General features: G+C 35.4%; 1 protein-coding gene across 1 annotated transcript in view, besides 2 other annotated features; it reads left to right on the plus strand.

Annotated features, from left to right (window-relative positions):
* The window catches only part of RORB (RAR related orphan receptor B), a 195,843-nt gene that overhangs the window by 1,787 nt on the left and 173,474 nt on the right, over positions 1-20,582 (plus strand). The window lies entirely within an intron of this gene.
* Positions 116-892: an enhancer, noted in NCBI's record as "H3K4me1 hESC enhancer chr9:77114153-77114929 (GRCh37/hg19 assembly coordinates)". NCBI's record gives its function as "activates a minimal SCP1, AML or CMV promoter by ChIP-STARR-seq in naive H9 embryonic stem cells {active_cell/tissue: H9 hESC(naive)}" and the evidence as "EXISTENCE:reporter gene assay evidence [ECO:0000049][PMID:30033119]".
* Positions 951-1,451: an enhancer, noted in NCBI's record as "H3K4me1 hESC enhancer chr9:77114988-77115488 (GRCh37/hg19 assembly coordinates)". NCBI's record gives its function as "activates a minimal SCP1, AML or CMV promoter by ChIP-STARR-seq in naive H9 embryonic stem cells {active_cell/tissue: H9 hESC(naive)}" and the evidence as "EXISTENCE:reporter gene assay evidence [ECO:0000049][PMID:30033119]".

The raw sequence follows: 20,582 nt of genomic DNA on the forward strand, positions 1-20,582 counted from the left end.
AGCGGTTAATCGGGGGCTCTTCTCTATCCTTCGCACGTACCCCTGGGTCTTGACAACAGAAAGTTAGTAACGGCCAGCTCCAGACCTTCTTGCATCCCAGACCCGGAGAGAGGTGGTCTAGGCAGGGAGCACTTGGGAGAGTTGGGATGCAATCACTGGTCTCCTCCTTCCACTGAAAGTGATCCTCTCCCACCCAGTCCCCCTACGCCCCTAGAGGAGCACCCCAGGAGGCAGCGGGTCTCACTCCCACTCCCTCCCGCACCCGGTGAGCCCCGAGCCTGGACTCAAGGGTTTGCTGGCTGGACGCTGGGATGTGTCAGGAAAGGGAAGGAGAAGAAGGAACGGAGAGAGACTGTCCATGGGGGAGGGGGTTGACTGTAGATAAGAAACAAGGACGTCCTGATGGGATGGTCTTGATTGGCCGGCTCGCTGGGAGTGGGGCACCCGTGTGTGTGCGCGCTGGCTCCAGCTGATTGTCCCGGTTGGGGGTTGGTTACACGCTCCACTGTCTAAATTCTTTCAAGAAACTATACTTGGGCAATTGGAGAGTAGAGAACCTTGGCTTAGTAAGAGACGCCCGGTCTTTTGTTTTTCTTTTTCTAGCCCATCTCACCATCCCATCCATTCTTTCGGTTTCCCCCGTCCCAGTCCAGAGCTGCCAGTTCGTCCCTCCCCTTCTTCCCTTCTAACTTTCCCCCTGTGGCTGGGTTCATACTTTCTGAACGTCGTAAACTATGCGCCACCTCAGCTCGGACCCAGCACTAGGACCTAGGGCATAAAATCCGCTCACTCCTTACATCGTAGAAGGAGTGCGGCGCGGGGTGGGGATGGGTTGTAGCTTGATCTAGCATCTCCTGAAGGAGCAGTTTGCAGATGACTGTCCTGGTTCGCCACGGCGGTCGCTTTGAGGACTCCAGAAGCTGGAAGGATTGAAAGCCAGGCGCTGGTCCTCATGCTCACCTTGAGAAAACCAGTTTAAGCCCACAGACCTATCAAAGAGGGCGCCAGCCTCGCCAGGCGCCCTAGGACCCCTTACAACTTCTAACTTGAGGCAGCTCTCAGGCGGCCTTAGGGGAATGCGCTGGAGAAAATGTAAGCTTAAAAGATGACCAGGTCACTCTATCGCCATTCCTGGTTGCCCTTTCCTGACCCCTAGTGTCTTTCCTTACTACCTCTTCATATTTTCCCCGGACAGTGCCCTACCACAGTATGAGAGGCTGTTCCGTAAGAATGGGATTGAGAAAAGATCCAGGCTACTCTGACGTCTTGTGGAGTTGGGAGTTGAACTTGAGAGTGAACTTGAGAAGTGAAAGCGGGAAAAGAATCAGCTTTCGCTCGTGCAGGGCTACTAAGCACCCTATGTTGGGAGAGGGGCCATTTTTGACCTGGGCTTTACGGTGGGCCCACTGCATTTCCCTCATCCACACGCGCGCGCTTTCCATTCCCAGGTGGTCCTAGTTAGCGCCTGGGCTCCACAGTTTGCAGCTGACAACTGTCCTGAATCAGGGCGCTTTGAGCGACGGAAAGGTGATCTGGGATTCAGTGGTCTCCCTCGGGGCCAATCCGGCAAACCTATTCCCACCCCCTACTCCTCCCCCGCCTAGGGCATTTAAGAGACTATCCCCAGGGAAGCTACGGGGAAAGAAAGGGGTTAAGAGTCCCTGATCTTTGACGTCCTTGTCCTGCCCCACGGCTGAACTGAGTCCCGGACACAGCGCAGTTGCTTACTCTAGCCTGGGGCGGAGGAGGTTGTATTTGGTGGCGCACAAAGCCTTTCATCCTTTGTCTGTGAGAGGGTACCACAGAAGTTCTAGAGAGGCTTCTCCGTAGATTTCATTACTGAAAGGAATAACTTCTGAAGGCGAAAGGGAGGACCTTTAATTGGGCCCATCACTAGGTGAGAAAGAAGTGAGCCGAGGTGTGGGTTTCAGGGTTCCTTCTTGAAAGATCTGTGGGCTGTTTATTACACAGGGGCGCGGAAATGGTCGGATTTTTCAGTCCTGCCTCCACGGAAAACCCTGCTTCCAAAAACAGGGGCACAGATGTCGTCGCAATCAATAGGTGATTGTCGCTGGGGCGGATTAGAAATCTGGTTTTATACTTGCTATAAACAAGGATTGGGTTTGGCTTTTTTAAAGTCTAGTTTTCCTCTATTATTTGCAGGTAGTTAATTTTTGCCAAGTGCTAAACTTTAGAAAAGAGGCTTCTTGCTCTCAGAGGTATGGCAGCCCTTCAGAAGTATGGAGCTCTGAATGTCCTGCTGGCAGGGCCTTTAGATTACCTAAACAAGTTCTCTCTCTTAATTTCCTCCACAAGTTCCAATTAAATATTTCTAACCAACATTCCACCTCCCGCAATTAAAAAAAACATTGCTGGAAGGACATCTCTGTTAGTAGTCCATTAATAATTGCTCATTAAGTAATCATCAGTAAGCTGTCTTCATTCCAAGAAATGTAATTATTCAAACAGTTTAAAAAGAAATCCTAAAGCTGTATTTCAACTATTGTTGAAATAATATATAGCCATAAGAATAAAAATATTTTCTTAAATGGTTACATCTAGCGACTCTCTCCTCCTTCCTCCCCCAGCATCATGGGTGAGTTTGTAACAAGTATTATGACACAGAAGTGCTTGACATACTGGACTTCTGGGATAGGTATTAGTACCACCAAGGCTTTTACTTTTCTATATTTTCTAACAATCACGAATTGGGAAACCAGGAGGAAAATGTAGATGAAGAAATTTTGAACAGCAAACTTTATAAACCTGAGGGACACAAGATTAAAACTCCTTTCTTGGCATTTACTTAAAACTTACTAATCTTTGGATTTTCCATCAACCACAATATAGCTTTTGCTCATTAGAGAATCCCTAAGAGATGAGTTTTTGCATCATTATTAAAGTGGTTTATGTGATCATTTAATATAAATAAAAACATTATTTTATACTCTTAACCAAATATGAATGTTAACATTTACTTATTTTGGCAGCAATTTGATAATACTAAACTATGATCAGCCATAAAAACAACTATTCAGGAGTGTATTTGCATAGATTATATTTTAAATTTAAGTGTTTCCAAGCCATGAAACCTAATTTTACAGGAACAATAATTTTACTACACCAAATTACAAAGTTTTTGGGTTGGTCTTCATGAAAATGACATTTAAATCTCATAATAATACCTACTTTTTTCCCCCAAAAGTAGCGTATACACAGTTGTCAACAGGGATTTAATACGATTTGATACAAAAAGCTTTTCTACATAAAAAGATAAGTAAATTGCTTTTTCAGCTATGACATCACCTTTTATAAACCTGTATTCACCTTTTAGAAATACAAGATGGCCTATATGGTTTTTAGACCTCTCATTACAATAGTTCTAAGATATAAAAGTATAAATCACAGCGTATTACTAGATTATTCCATTGCAATGAATAATACACCTCTAATTTAAAGTGCATATTATAGCATTCAATTAATAGTTTAATATTATAACTTTAAAAATTATTAGTTAAAAATTATATATGCATGGGTCTGCTGGGATTCTGCAAATTTGTATATAAAGTGAGGCTTAAAATTGTGAACAATAATATCAGTGCCAGTGTGCATTGGTGAAATTTAAGCCTTACGACTAAACATATTAGGAAATAAGAATTAATTCCAAAGTGAAGACTGTCAAATTCTGGCCAAATTGAAACACATCAAAGGTTCATAAGCACATACATTGTGAGTGCAAAAGTTATTAGTGATTGAGGTGACATTTTAATAATATGAGGATAATTTCTTAAGACTAAACTACTTCTGTATTTATTCTACAAAGACAAAAAAAAGTAAAGGCTTTATTTATACTGGCATTCATTTAATTAACATTAACAAAACATTTATTGTGATGTTAAAATATATAGAAAAGTAAATATTAGAAATGGAAATTATGCTTAATAATTAATGTATGTTTTTTATTCTAGATGTAGTTCTGTTATTCTATCTATTCTTATCTAAAGGATAGAAATCAAGCTGACTAATGAAATAAGTCTTTTGTGATATAATGAATGATGACCTTTGATGAAATAAGCACTCTAAACAAAAAGTATTATTCCTGTAATTTTGTAATCATCTTCCAATTACAGCTTTTTGCAAATATTTATCTTACTTTGAATAGAATCTCTGACTTAACAGAATCCCCAGCAGATAATAGCAGTCTTTGGAGGCGTCTGTTGATACACACTGATACGCAATATGTATATGTATGTGCCTATAACCACCCACTCAGACAAGAAGAATGAATATTTGAGAGAGAAAATCATTCTTATCTTTGCTTTCACAATCCAGACTTCCAAACTCAAACATATTTAGAGAAACAGAGCAACTTTCCAGAGCATTCAAAGGGAAGATATGAATACACGTGGTACTAGAGTCGCATAAAAAAGAAACTGTTAATAACATCTATTTATAAATAATCTACACAAAACTCCATTATACTACCTAATGATAATTAGAGGGAAAGGGAATCAAAGAATTCAGGACTGCCAAGTAAATAAAATATTCCCTCTCAAATTAAGCAACAAATTCATAGATAACAAGGTTTATGCCATGAATTTGAAGGATGTCTCCTTTGTAGCGCAAGACAAAGGAAGCATAGAGGAATAAATATTGATTGAACTAATCATCTGATGAATAGAAATGAGATTTACCAGTGCACCAATATAATAGGCTATGTTAACTAGTTCTTTCATAGCGCATATGCTGCCCTTTCAACCCCTGACCCCATCCATTCAATTCTTAATGAGGGAAACCACAGGTGTTATAACGGCATTTATAGTGAATCAAGCTACATATAATAACCATGTGGTTAACTAATGGCACTGGGGGTAGATTCTTATGAAAGGAAATATTGTGATCATAATGTGACAAAATTATTGTATATTTCAAACCACTTAGAATTTTGGCTTGCTCAGGTAACCTCTAAAATATACCTACGTGGCCATTAATATCTCAAGTCCCAGATTTGGTGGCTCTGTAATAAGTGCAAATTTATTAGTGCATATCTGAGGAGCAAGAATTATTCAATATATATTCTACCCACCATTGTTGTACACCTTGCATAATAAGCATTTAAAACATTAAAAAATAACACTTAGAAGGTACAGTATTTTATACTCAATATGTCCTGCATGCTGCTTGGTTAGTAGTTATTTTATAAATATTGTAAATAGATTACAACTTTATAGTAATAATTAAATGATACATTTTGTGTTAAATTTACATTAGAACATTCTTGAAATAGGCATGTTTTTACAAAAGCCAAAACGAACATCTTGCCTTCGCCAAAATATAAGGCTAAAATCTTACTCAAAAATATGCTCTTATAAAAGAACAAAAGTAATTTGCTTTGACTTAAGCATGTTCACCTCTGGGTAGTAAATATTTTATTAACTGGCTGGGTATGCTGACATTAAAATTACTAAAATGGGTATTTACTAATGTCATTTTTGTGTGATTAGTTATGATATCATGTGGTCCTGGCTAATTTAGAGGAATCACGGACATCAGTAAAGAAAGATCAAATTAATCTGGTTGTTTACTAAATTATGCTTTTCTTACTACCCTACGTATTACTTTGTGCTCATATAAACCAAATATCTTGGCACTGTGGAGTATATGAAAAACTTGGGATGCTTAAAGAAAACTGTTACATAGTTTACCTTATAGTAAAGCTTTTTTCAATAAATAATTGCAATAAATTAATTTTAAATTGTGTATTTAAAAAATTCTCACTCAACTGCCCAATATAGAATTCTTCTTTTAAAGACTGCTACACCATTAACTAAATTTCACTAGATTATGTTGTAATCATGTGACAACCAGAGATATACAATATTTTAGGACTGAATTAGATGTACAAATGGTATTCTGAATTTAAGCACAAAATTATCCTTAAAAAAGAAACAGCAAGAGCTTTTTAAAAAGGCCTTGGCATTTATAACCAGAACTTGGCATGAAATAAATGAGTATTATTAGCTGCAAAAAATGCAGATTTATTTAATTTTAATTTTCTGACCAGCTTTATTTTGTTTTGTTTTGTTTTAATATTTTCAAATACAAATGTCTCTCCTTATCTGAAACCAGCTAAGCTTGATTCTCATCTGTTCTGAAAACTTTGTCAAACTCATTGATCGACTCATTTTTAGGAGCCCAAATTAAGATATACTCTCAAGTACAAGAATGATACCATCTTCCCCAAAATATTTCAGTTTTAATTTTAAAAAGAATAAGCTCAAAGATGATGTCATCTTTTACAGCCATATATATAAAAAGAAATGTACATGACTCACATATTTATTTATTAAAGATTTATTGAATACATCCACCCAAAGTAAGGTACAGGGCTGAACCCCAGGGATGCTCAGGTTAATAAAGCACAGTCAGTAGTCGAAGCTAGGATCAAAGAGAAAGCAGAATGGAACATGGCAAGGACGCTACCAGAAAGTCAGACTAGCTCTCAAAGGGGAAGTGATGTTTGAGATGGGCCTCTAAAGATAAGTAGAACTCCCTCTTTGGGTTAATTTGTTCATCATAAATGAGGTCCATTAAATTACTGTTAGTTGTACTCCTCAGTTGCCTTATATAGTTGGTGTTATGTGAAATTGAGTTTATAGTAGAACTATTCCAAAAAGAACATAACCTGATGTAGCACAAATAATAGTATTGCTCTCAAAACTTTTAGTAGTAAAATTGTTCTCAAGTGACAATTGAAAACAAAATCCTTTAAGGCAATTTTTAAAATTACAAAAAGAAAGTATATTGAAGGTGAGACGAGTATCAGTGTAAGGAAGAGGGTACAGCTTGTTTTAAAAAAAAAAAAGTATCACCAAGAAAAAGAAAACGTAAAAATACTTTATAATATCCATATACATTTGTTTTTATAAGGAAAATTCTTATTTATTTTTTAAAAAAAGGAAATGACTGATGTATATTGAGTTTCATTTTCTTTAATACTATTATCTGAAAGTAGTGATATCTGCTCTAGAGAGTACCTTAGATTACTAGATATCAAGTAGAACAAAACCCATTGAAGTAATAGAGTATGTAGGCCGTATCTGAAGGCCACAATGATGTTCTTCAAATTCTTCCATTCCACATACTTGGATATAATACTGTACTCTGAAGATTAAGTTATAAAATCAACACTTGCTGACTTTTGAGCTATTCTCTTTCTTCGGCATATTTAAAGAAGGAAAATTCTGGAGACTCTTAGTAATAAAAACCTGAGTGTGAGAGGCAAATATTAGCTGGTTCCATCCCAGCACTGTGAGTGAGTTGCTGATCAGGCTGAAAAAAGTGTCCACTACAGTCCTCAGTTAAAGCTCAGTCATTTTGAAAGGATAGTCTGTCATTCTGGTCTTACACATTAGCTCTTGTGAACTTAGTTAACATGGGTCCTCATACTAATGTCTGATCTACTCTGAAACACTGGTAAGATCAAATTTCTCAGACCACAAAGCTGAAAAACAGACTCTGAGCTGGGATAAACTCACATAAGCAAATGCCTCCATTTGAAACTTGCAGGCAGCCAAACTGTCACTCTTGGCCATAACCCTCTGCATTAGCATGAATCTCATCTTCAAATTTCCACATAGTGGGCAGGACCACAGAGTCATACCTTTTAAGTCCTGAAACACAAATAATTGTTTTAAATGCTGAATATTAACTACAATATATTAGACCAAGGAATTGTGCCCTTCGGTTGTAACAATATCCAGATAACATAGTGGCTATGGTAATTCCAGATTTTTTCTTGGAAATAGAAGAATTCGAGAAGTGCATGAATGATTTCATTTCTTGAGGTTTTTCCAAAAAGATGAAGGCTTGGAAGTCTCCTGTAACTTTTACTAGCCTGATTAAACAGCTATTTAATAAGACAACCAGTTTTCTGGACAATCATTCACCCACGCCTTATTGCAATTTGTCTCTGGTGTTCCTAGGTTATGTGACAATGGACACATACAACCACTTCATGTTATGCCTGGGCCAGTGTACTATTCTGGTTGGTGAATGGAGGCTAAACCATTGGAGAACAGTCGTTTTACTTGAAGTGTTACATATAACTTAAGTCTAGTGTTTTTCTCTAGCTTTTATGTAAATATGCATCATACTTAGTAAACAGTAAACTGCTATTTTGGTTTTTCCATTAAAAAGCAATTTAAAGACAATCTTATTAAATAGGATCAAAATGTGTTGTTGCTGGTAATTTGCTCTGAGAACATGAAATGCAGACATACTATTGTTATTTGCCTAGTGTAATGAAAATTAGTGAAACCAGTTGTATTTGACAGGCTACATTTAAAAAGTTTCATTTCACCTCTCCAAGGAAAGGATCACATAGTGCTTCGTATGAGTTTGTAATTCTGCATTAGTATGAAAACTCATATTCTAAGTTTCCGAAGTAAAAATGTTAGCATATAGCTTGAACCAGAATAAACACTCAAATCATATTTAACCATCCAGCAGCTGTTGACTTCCAGAATCCAGAACTAAACAAGAACACACAAGCTTCAAGAACTTAGACATACTGAGTTTCTAATGAATAACTGGCTTTCATTATCATTGCCAGGACAAATAATAAAATTATTACACAAAACATTTCCTGTTAACTTGTATATAAATTGTGCCTGGCATATGTAAAGGAATTAAAGACTTTTAAAGAAAGGAGAAGAAACCTTGTTCCAAATTTTCACAGTTGTTGAGTATGAGCAAATGCCACACAGTCTGGTAGAATAGAGGAACATTTGTTCAGGAAAAACACATCATATCGTTAAGGTACATCCTTCTTGGCAATACTTTATTTTTTACAAAAATAAAATATTTTAAATAAATTATTTAGAATTTTTTCAGATCTCAACTTATTGATCTGTTTGCTCTAAAATTAAATTTAAAACAAACAGTTCAATATGCTGAGTTTTTTTCCCCACTTAAATGCTGACTACTTTTAATAAGCTTAATTCTAAGCACTTTTATCCTTGCATATATACTTTCATTCTTGTGATTTCAAAAAAAGTTAAGTACCAAAGGAAAAGAGCTTTTGGAGTAAATTATCCCAAGGACAACTCAGAAATATCAATAATGAGAATCCTAGTCAGACAGCATTAATACCCTTCCAGTTGTGTTTTTGCTTTGCTTACTAATATAACCAAAGATAAGTTCTGGCTGCCACTTATGTCAGAATAAATTAAAATTTATGTGATTGGTTTTAGAAAGTGTTCTTTTGCAATAAAATAAACTGATTTGGAATTTTTTCCACCAAAATTGTACTGTATCCTTATGTTCATTAATGATTTTTGAAAGGTTGTCTAACATGGTTGATTTGTGTATTGATTAAGAGTAAAAGCCATACTTTTTGAAACTAAAATAATGCTTTAAAAGTAAAGGGAACTATCTGACAGAGTTGTAGGTGACACCTTCTATAGTGAAGAAGGTGTAAATGTAACTCAGCGAATCTTAAATATTGAGCACTTATGATGTCTAAGAAGCAATACCCTCCAAGATAACAGTCTCAAGCACAGCAAAACTACATTTCTTATAAAAGTCTTAAGGAATTCCTTAGATACTATTTGTTCCATTTGAATTTCTCAAATGTCCAATATTGATTATGTCTCATTTTCTTAAATGAGAAAAATCGATGACTTGGTCATAATTATTTGTTAAAAGAGACTAATATCAACATTTGACTGGAAACAAGGGTTCCTGCCTGAATCCAGTTCTATTTTTATTAATCTATGCTCTCTCTCTCTCTCTCTCTCTGGCCATACTATTTTTTGCCACCCCTGTATTCGTAGTAGATATCCCTAATCAACTATGGCATTAATACTTGCTAAGTCTGAATGCAACCTCCGCTACCGTTTGGCCAGCATTGGCCCTTAAGATAAAACTTGTTACCACAACTCTCACCAGTGTTTTGACCACATGAAGAATAGAGAATAATACAGTAAAACTATTATTTAATCACAGGATCCCCTTGGGTAAACCATAGCTCTCCACAGCTTTCACTCCCAAAATAATGATAATGGCATTTACCAATCTCAGGAAAAACTAAAATAAAATAAGTATTATGGAAAAATCTATAGATTATGAACTAGATCTGTCTAGTCAAAATAATAACAAATTCAAAGTATAAGTAGTAAATTTTTTATCTTTCCATAATTATTCCCTGGAAAGTTCCAAATATTTAATTTTATAAACAAATAGATCTCCTTTTATATATATTTCAAAATTTTGAAAAAATTGCATATTTATGGATTTTTTTCCTCACTAAGAATCTGTATCCACTTTAAGGCAGCAATTTTATCAGAAATAGCTATGAAGACAATAAAAAATTTCTCTTCATTCAATAGCCAACATGCATTTTTAGTTTGTGATGTGAATGCACTCATTTGACCCTCAGCTTGTCAATTCTTTCCTCTAGTTTTTATGCCTGTTAAGAGGCGGGTTCTCTATCTTCAGCTATAAGCATTTCAATGAAAAAACTGTGTTAATAGCTGAGCATACCACCATTTATCCACCTGATCTTAATTAATTTTGTCTGATTGACTGAGACTGGAACTCTCATCAACACACTATTTAAATCAAAGGCCTATTATCATCCTTCTGTGTTGTGTACAAGCATAAGATGTTTTCTTAAGGAAGGAACCTTGACAACATTAAGAAGGTGCCATGTCTAATCATGCTGAGCATTATAAAGAAAAAAAAATTACATTTGACATTAATTCTAAAGAAATGCGGAGTTCTGCTCCTCCTTAACAATATTGCAATTTAATTTGTTTTGCATTTTGGCTGAAACATAATATTCCTTACATCAAGCTATCATTTATGCGGTTGATTTTTATGCTTTCAAATGAAGTTAATTTGCAATTCTTTAAAAGCACAGTTATTAGTCTACTGTTAGTGATTTTTCAGGCCTCTTTAATGTAAACTGTACTATAAAAAACATAGCTTGAAATACCAACCCTACTCTTCATTTATTCTGCAGGACTCCAATTGATCGTATTATAGAATGGTCCTGACACCCACAATTTGACTAAATTTGACCACAGATGCTATTAGAAAGAAAATGAGCCACAATGGGTTTCTTCCTCTTATATTTAGTATCTACTACTGTGTTTAACAATATCAGGTTGGAAAAGATTGTACACTTATCTCAGGTGATCCTCTTTGTTTTACAGCATGTAAAATATCTTCTTTGCTTGCTCCATTTTAGATATAGTGGTATGTTTCTTCATATTCACTAATCCTGTCAGTCTGTTCTGCAGCTGCTCTTAAGGAAAATTCTGAAAACATTTAAGAGAGGAACTATGTAAACCTGAGAGGAGCTGACAGATGCAGTCTCATCTCTACAAAATGTAATAGCAGTTAAAATTTATAATAATCTCTTGCCTGTGTTTCGTACTCTATAGCTCTCAATAAGCTTATGTAGCCACTGTCTCAATGACACACCCAACAATCTTGTGAGCTACGCAGGACAGGTATGAATAGGAATGTGTCCAGAGTACCCAGATCAAAGAAAACCCTAAAATATAAAAGAGTGCTTTTTAAACAGTTTTAAAATGTAGTTTCCACACTTCAAAAAATTGTACCAGATCAAAAATATAAATATTTGATTTATAAAAGGAGGAAATATAAGTGGTTAATAAACATTTGAAAAAAAGAGCTCAACTTCACTTATTAAAGAATGCAAACAGAATGAGTAGCATCTTCACCTGTCAAATAATAGCAGTTGTGATGACACCCTCATATTCTGTAGCAGGAATTTATAGTGATACAGTCTTTTAACTTAAACCCTTAAAAATATCATACTCTTTAGCCCAGTAATTCACCTTCTGGGATCTTTCCAAAGAACTAAACTAAAGTACAAAAAAGACTTTATACCTAAAGACCTGTGCCTAAAAACGTATTGCAGCCTCACAGTGATGTTTAGGGAAACCTTAGTTGTAATGCTCTTTACCACATACTTTCATGTAATATGTATTCACTGTGTATACTATTATATACTCATGATGTATTCAATATACGTCACTGGCATTAAATCTCTACATGTACTTAATCATTTATTTTAGGTACTGGGGATAAAATGGTAAGCAAAAAAGACATCGTCCTGACCTCACTAAACATAAAGACTAACAAAAAATAAGTAAAATGCAAAATTGTATGTACTATATGATTTAAATTAAATAAAAATCCATAAAAGAGCAATTGAAGAAAACATAAAACTGTTAGAAATCACCCCTTGATATTAACATCTTAGAAACTATTTTCTTCTTCTTTTTTTTTCTCTCCTTTCAACTTTTCCCACACAGTCTCTGTAGATTAGTTGTAAGTGTCAAAGTGTGGGAGGCACAGTGACCCGGGCCTGTGGTCCTGGCACATAAGGCGGCTAGGGCAGGAGTTCAAGACCAGCCTGGGCAACATAGCAAGCCCTCATCTATATAGCAAAAGAAAAGAAAAAAAAAAGTGTCAAGGTGAATGAATGTTCAGTTACTCTGGCATAGTAATAAGGCTATGCTTTATCTTTCACTCATTGTGTTTTAGCTCATCCATTTGCCTGAGGTCATCTAGTATGATAATAAGGTTAAAGTTGAAAGTTTAATGGCTCATTTATAAAATTAACTGATTTGATGTTGCACAACTGCTCTTTCCTTCATCATCCAACATTTATCAAGGATCTATTATGCACCAGACACTATCTTAAGGTTGGAAGATACACAGGTGAATAGGATTCCATCCCATACTCACAAGACCTTAGAGTCTGGTCTTTTTGAGAATCGTATATTACAGTTCACAATAGGTACTAGAAATGGCAATAATAAAAGTGATAACAATAATAAGAAGAAAAATGAATTTAAAAAAACTTTTTCCATCATTGAGAAAAGAAGAATTCTGCCTTATTAAATTCTTTAACAGTGGATTAATACTGTGCTTTTTGTCTCTAAAGGCTCCTAATTGGGGAAATTTATTTTAAATGTTAGAGGAAAAATCAGGATACTCATATAGAAAAATTAGTCAGCTAGTCTTCAATTTGTCTCCATTAAACTAGCTTGTGTCTATCCCCTGACAAAGCTGCAAGACTGCAATTCCTAAGGATGTTAAAGAATATCAACACAGACATACCAGTTCTCAAAATACAAGATGAATGATGAATTGATTCCCATTGGTGGAGTTGTGGGAATGCTTTAAATATTCCTACACTCTGTGGTAAATGAAGAATCTCAATTTGCTCATAAGACTGTTATAAACTCATTGGTATTTAATAGGGAAGAATTCATTATGATGTTCACTGCTAAAGTAGTCTTCATATATTAGTACTAACACCCCTAATACAGTGATTCAAAACAGGCAGTGATTTTGCCCTGCAGGAGATCAATGACAATATCTAGAAAAATGTGGAGTTATCACAACTGAGAAGATGCTACAAACATCCCACAGGTAGAGGTCAGGAATGCTGTTAAACATCCTGCAATATACAGGACAGCCCACAAGGCAAAGAACTATCCTGTCCAAAATGCCCATAATGCTGAGATTGAGAAATGTTGCCCTAGGACTATATGAAGGTTTTCCGAATAGAATCACTTTAGGATCCTCAGTTTTTTTGTGTATTCTCTGAGAAAGCTGCTTCCTCTTTTCTGCCTCCCCCTTTACAATAATCTCATTTCCACTCCACAAAGAAAGATTGAACTCTCTCACTCATTTCAAATATTATTATGTGCATGGTTCCCAACACGGAAAACTTCCATTGCAGTAAAAAACAGACAATTTGAAATATTGATTTTGATGCTGAGAAAATGATCGATTTTAATGAATGAGCAAAATCGTCTTTTGCAAGTCAGGTAGTTTCCTTTACTTTCAATGAAATTGAAGGAAGATGTATTCAAATTATCAGTTATTGGTCATTAAAATAGTTTTTGATAATAGAATGCTATGTGATTTGAGGCATATATCTCAGAATGAGTTTAAAGAAGTGAGTTCAATTGCTATGGCAAAATTAGTTCCACTTTCCTCTGCATATTTTTGTGAATAAGTTTTTCAACACTTGTATTCCTAAAAACAAAAATATAAATAGAATCGATGTGAAACCCCATTACATCCTAGTAGTAAATAATAGTCAAGCAAAAGTACCAGAATTAAGTGAAAGAAAAAAACCTCGCTCTGGTCCATTAACAGATAATTTTTCTTTTAATATTTATTCTTATATTTAGTATTAGGTTGATGGAAAAGTTATTGCAGTTTTTGCCATTACGTCAGCAAAAACCGCAATAACTTTTGCACCAACCTAATAAATATAACATTTGTAACATATTTGTGTGATTTTTATCAATTGTGTTCTAGTGATAATGATAATAATTCAATCTAGAAGGAATTTTAACTCAGAACCTGTGTTCACAGAGAAAAAAATGGTTAAGTCTAAAATATATACTTACTTTTTTTTGGAGAGTGGTATAACCTAGTAACTAATAAAAGACTTTCAAACATGAGAATTTAGACATTAGAATAAAATCATGTGCAGGAAGTGAAAGTATGAATTCAAGGAGAAAGTAGATATTGTAAAATTTCTGTAAAAGAGTTTATACATTTTCTTTTCAAATGTATGATATGCTATTAAAACATTTTGAGATTTAGATTCCATTGGTATATTTAAATGAAACTCATTAGTTCTATTTTAATATATAAAATCTAAAATGCTTCAAAAATTACATCCTTTGCAGTGTTATTGTATATACTATGTAATCTACTTTTACAATAGTTCTGAAATGAAAAAGAATGCCGTAGGATCCACAATTTCTATTCCACAGTGTTCAGCCATGGTTTTTCAGGTCCGTATTAACATGGTATCCTTATTGCTTAGAAACTGCATTAGTCAAGTACTTGGGCAACAACTATTGCAAACTCTTTGAAGAACCCAGAATGATAATTCATTCTTCGTTAACTTTTCTTAGATGACCACGCACAATCATATCTGAGAAGCTTTGGACAACAGCTACTGCTTATTTCACTCAAGTTTTTGAAAGTGCTAGTTTTCTAAAGAAATTGTGAATAACTACCAACCTCAGAATCAGCAACCCTGAAATCCAAACAGTATCCTCCTCAAAGAGACACTTCAGTACATTCCACTAGACCACATATCTGCAAACTTTTATGTAAAGCCCCAAATAGTAAATATTTTAGACTTTGTGGCCCATGTGGTCTCTGTTGTTCTGACATTGTAGCATAAAATGTCAGAGTAGCACAAATATAGCCACAGTCAATGTGTAAATGAAAAATCATGGCAATGTTCCAATAAAACTTTATTTACAAAAACAGGTGGCAGGCTGTTGCTGACCGCCAACACTTGACCGTCAAGTCCCTAAAGACAGGATATATGTCTTATTGAACTTAGTATTCCCATCACCTAGCACAAAACCTGAAACTCAGTAAATGTTGAATAAGTGAGTAGAAGTATTTAAGCCTTAAGAGGATAACAGTATACTTAAAATATGCTAAATGATATTTATATAATATATATTTAATAATATATATAATTATATATACGTAAAATGAATGATAGAGGAGAATAAGACAATTGTAAACCTCATCGAACTTAGATATTGGCCAAGGAGCCCTATTTCTAGAAGTACTAGGCAGCTTGACCACAGTTACTAGAATGAAGCTATAGTATTGAATTATTTCAATATAATTTTGTATATAATTCAATACAGTTATTTCAATATACCATTGACTAATAATTATGCAACATAATATTGAATAATTAATTAACCCTCAAGTATAACTTCTGAACCCCTTGAGGTCAGACAGCTTTGAATCCTCAACTTCAACTCTATATCTTCTCCATAGTAGGTCATTGAAAATTCAAATTAATTATGAATGAGGAAAGGTAAATCAAAACCTGGCCAATTAATAAATCAACAAACATCTGGTGTATCTAGTGTGCTGTAAGCATTACATAGTTGTTGAAAAAGATCCAATGAAGAAAATGTATTTATTCAACAAACTAACACCATTATAGCACTTACGTGTCATGTTTGCATCTAATTTCTAACAAATATTAACTCAGTTAATCCTCACAGCAAATTTCTGATTAAGCAGTGTTTATTATTAGGTCCATTTGATAGAAGAAGAGGCTAAGGTACAGGAAGGTTAAGTAACTTGTCCAAAGTCACACATCTAGTAAATGGCAAAACTGGAATTCAGACCCAGGCACTCTATCTCCTGAGTCTGTGCGATGTTTCCTCACATACCATCTCACTGAATATTATTATACCCATTGTGTTTTTTACATAGCTGTGGAAGGTTGATTTGTTCTTTCAGGAGAGTGTTTTATGAAGGAGCTCACCCCTTTTTCAATGGGAGCTAATTAATATTTTATTTTCTCAAACTTTACACATAACTTTTGAAGATTCCTCCAAGAATCTAAAATAGCTGAGTCTTTCCTTTCCCTCCCATGAAAAAATATGCTTTCTATTAGAAAATCTCAAAATTCTCAAAACCCACCATTCCAAAATGCTGTCACTTTTCTTGCAAAGTGAACCTATAATGTTTCAAAATAACAGATGCAAATTGTTAAGTAAGAGTACAACACACTATGGCATTCCCAAATGACATCTGTAACCAGTAAAAGCTGGATGAGTTAAAAAGATCAATATCCCAGTGACTAGGAAGAACTCTGTGAGAAGTCACTTGAGCCAAGCTTTCAAATTGTGTAGAATTTTATTGCCAAAGAATCACAGAGAAACTTTTCAGGTGAAAGGACAGAGGAAACAAAATCTTGGCAGCAAAAATCATGTGTGTGCACCACCGCAAATGAAAGAAACAAAGCATAAGAGAGAGAACTAACATTGACTCTACTCTATGTGTCAGACTGTGTTTGGTCCTTGACCTCCTAGGGAGGCTAGTTACAATCCCAGGCATGGAAGTAAAGCAGTCCAGGTACCAGTGCCACCTCTACTGCTTACGGTGCTACTTAATTTCTCTAAGCCTCAATTTTTTTGTAAAGTGAAGATAGATAATACCATCATCGTAGGCTCATTGTAAGAGTTAAATCAAATTAGATAACATCATAACATGCTTAGCATTGCACCTGATATTTAGCCCTCATTAAGTGGCTTAACATTGTTCTTGAATTTTTATTGTCACACACAAAAAAGTGAAGTATTGTTATCTCTACATTGCAAATGAGAAAGCTGAGGCTCAGACAGTCTTAGACTAACATCTATAATATATGTATAATTACCCCAGTACAATAGGCCTCCAAGAGAGTTCTCACTGGGAAGCAGAGATTTGGTTATTAGAAGAAAGAATTGAGAGATGCTGAAATGTCAAAATAGGAGTTTTGTTGTACTGAGATAAATTGAAAATGTTAGGGGCCTAGCGTTTGAACTTTTGAAAAAAAGGAAATCTGTGACTGTTCCTGTGTTTAAAACTTGCCTCTTAATGATTTAGGGGTCACTGAATAAAAAGAGGAGTCAAGCATGAAGCAGAGAAGCAGTCTGGGGACTTGGTTTGGCATTCAGTGACAGCAATGTCAACTTAACTGACATATCAGTTACCTCCCTAAAACCTGTCTCATAGTAAGTGTCCTTCCTCCCACCTAACAGTTCCCAACATACCTGGTGCACTTGATTTGAGTCTGGTGTTTTTTCCTTATATTTATTTATATTTGTTTAGCACAATCTGGTTGAAAAAATTTATAGACACAACATTTACCAAATATAAATTGCAATGTTTCCTCACATACCATCTCACTGAATATTATTATACCCATTGTGTTTTTTACATAGCTGTGGAAGGTTGATTTGTTCTTTCAGGGGAGTGTTTTATGAAGGAGCTCACCCCTTTTTCAATGGGAGCTAATTAATATTTTATTTTCTCATACTTTACACATAACTTTTCAAGATTCTTCCAAGAATCTAAAATAGCTGAGTCTTTCCTCTCCCTCCCACTAAAAAATATGCTTTCTATTAGAAAAACTCAAAATTTCATCTGAGTCTACTTTCAAATACACACCTGCAAAATGCATGTGTCATCTTTTAAAAAAACTGAAATTCTCTCATCATTTTTTTCTTAAAATGAATCAATGTTTTTCTTCATAATTTCATTTTTAAGATTCCCTTTATTCCCATGATTCCAATGTTGTTTTCTGCTGTAACGAAAGGTACTGACATCAGGAGATCTAAATTGTGAAACTTATGTAACTTGCACTATACTCGGTCCAACATCTTGTGGTCTAATTAAATACAAGCCAAGTCAGTTGGCAGAAAGGTACGGCGTGGTGGTGTGGATATTAGCACCTTGTTAGCAGTCAAAAACCTGCTTTCTCAGGCAGAACCTATTTCTGAATACAAAGTTTTATATAGATTAATGCTGTAATGTTTGAAAGGCATTTGATAAACAAACTTATATTTGAATCTGGAAATAGAAATATTTTCTTACCAGACATTTTAATCTAATTTTATTTTTTTAAAAAGGGTAGCCCCATACTCTATTGGGCATTACCCGAAAACCATTGTTTTACCTTTTAGTGTTTAATTTCTAGAAATAGAAAAAATTATACTTAAAATGTCACTATGAGAGAAATGATCTTGGAAAAAATATTATAAATGTGTAATATAAATAAAAATAAGTTATAAGGTTCACATTCCCTGGCATTAGTCTAAATCTTCTTCATCATAGGTAATTCTTGTTGAACACTCACTATGTGAAAGGCACTGTGCTAAATACTTCATGTGAATTACCTCAGTTAATCATCAGAATAAACCCTTGAGATTAGCAGTATTTTTATCCCCATGTCACAGGTGAAGAAAATGAAGCACAGAGAGGTTAAGTCATTTGTCCAAAGTTACCCAGATAGTATTTGAAGGAACTGAGATTTTAATTCAGATTTTTAACAGCTCTGCCCTCCCCATTACAGACCTATGGCTACAAGATGCTTCAAGCTGACCTCCTCCTCTGGGTCTATCTCATTTGTCTCAGAGGTCTTTTCTGGGGTACACCTCCCTTACTCTAGTCAAGCCAACGCTAAGTGAGTGGTCTAGGGAAATGCACTAATTTATCTTCTTCTTTAAGTCATGCATAAGATGAAAGCTTCCCTCCGTGGCACCGTTAATTGAACATGTGAAATGAGAGGAAGATCGTTCAAAAACATTGCAAAGCATGTCTTTCTACCGAATGGGCATTTAAAAAATTGCCACCAATGACCACACACTGCAACTGACCCTAAGACAACCTGAATTAATTTGAGAACATGTGGTTCACACCTAAGTGCAAGGAGTATCCAACATAGTGGTACTTTGCTATCTCACAAAAGACAGACTGTCTTCTGGGGGTTCAGTGGAAAGACTTCTAGAATTTAAATCAAGAGGTGTGTTGTTACCCTTAACTATGCAGCCTGCGCAAGTCACCTCTTTGCCCCGCCACGATCCTCATTTCTGAATGAGAATGTGGGCTGTGGTTGTCTCAAGAGTACTTTCCAGCTTTCAAAGTCCATAAGTTCATGCCCTCCAGTATAAAACTTTTCTTACATTGTTACAAGGATTGGTTTTCGGTTATTTTAGTTTTTGAGGGAACAGGAGCTTTTATAGACTAGGTAACCTGTCCAAAATCAAACAGATATAAGATGTGCCGCTGGGATGCTACCTTAGAACCATGTAATTCCAAAATCCTGAACTACAGTGTCCTTTGTGATTTTAAAGTCTAGTAGACCTGTCCCCTAAAATATGCTTTTTCTCCAACTTGTTAGAATTACAGTTAATTTTTACATAGTCTCATAATCTTACAATACACCAAGAATACAATATTCATTAGAACTATAGTAAGGTAAGGGTCGTGTATATCAAAAGAAGAGTATGGCTGTTCTTGAATGCTATGATAAAGTATATTTTACAGAGAAATTCAGCCTAGATTTTATTTATACCCCAGTAAATGAGTTTACCGAATCCTTTCCTAAGAACCTATTTTCATAGGAATATGAGGAAAAAGCTCAAAGGCCTGAAAACTTGAAAGATAGTTCCATCCCCTCTTGATAAAGTCGAGATGGAGCCAGAAAGGTTGTGCTGATTTCAGATAAATATCCTACCTACTGCACAATTTTGCTGAGGGCTAGTTGGAGTGTGCACACGCATGCACGCGGGAAGTATTTAGAGAAGTCAGGGTGGGTAGGTTGTGTGGGAGACAGGGGAATTCAATGAAGGGAGATTCTTTAGCCTTTCCTTCAAGTACATCTTTCTCCTGAGTACATTTACTTCCATCACAATGGACTAGAAGAGATCCTTGCTTAGTGGTGCAGAACCCTTGAGACCTAATTTAGCTTTTATAGGAAATTCAAAAAGAGAAAGACGGCACAAGAGCAAGAGAACAGAACAAAGATATGAGTTTGTACAGAGAATATTGATACTTGTGGACTGCTTCTGTAACTCTTTTAAAATAAATTTTCTAAGTAAATGCTGACGTAGACTTTTCTGTTAGTGGAAGGCTGAGCTCCTCCCGCCAAACAATGCGCTGCCCAAATCATCTTTACAATTCCCGACAGTCTGTCGTCTCCG

The sequence above is a fragment of the Homo sapiens genome, chromosome 9 (assembly GCF_000001405.40).
Source record: "Homo sapiens chromosome 9, GRCh38.p14 Primary Assembly".
Lineage (NCBI taxonomy): Eukaryota > Metazoa > Chordata > Mammalia > Primates > Hominidae > Homo > Homo sapiens.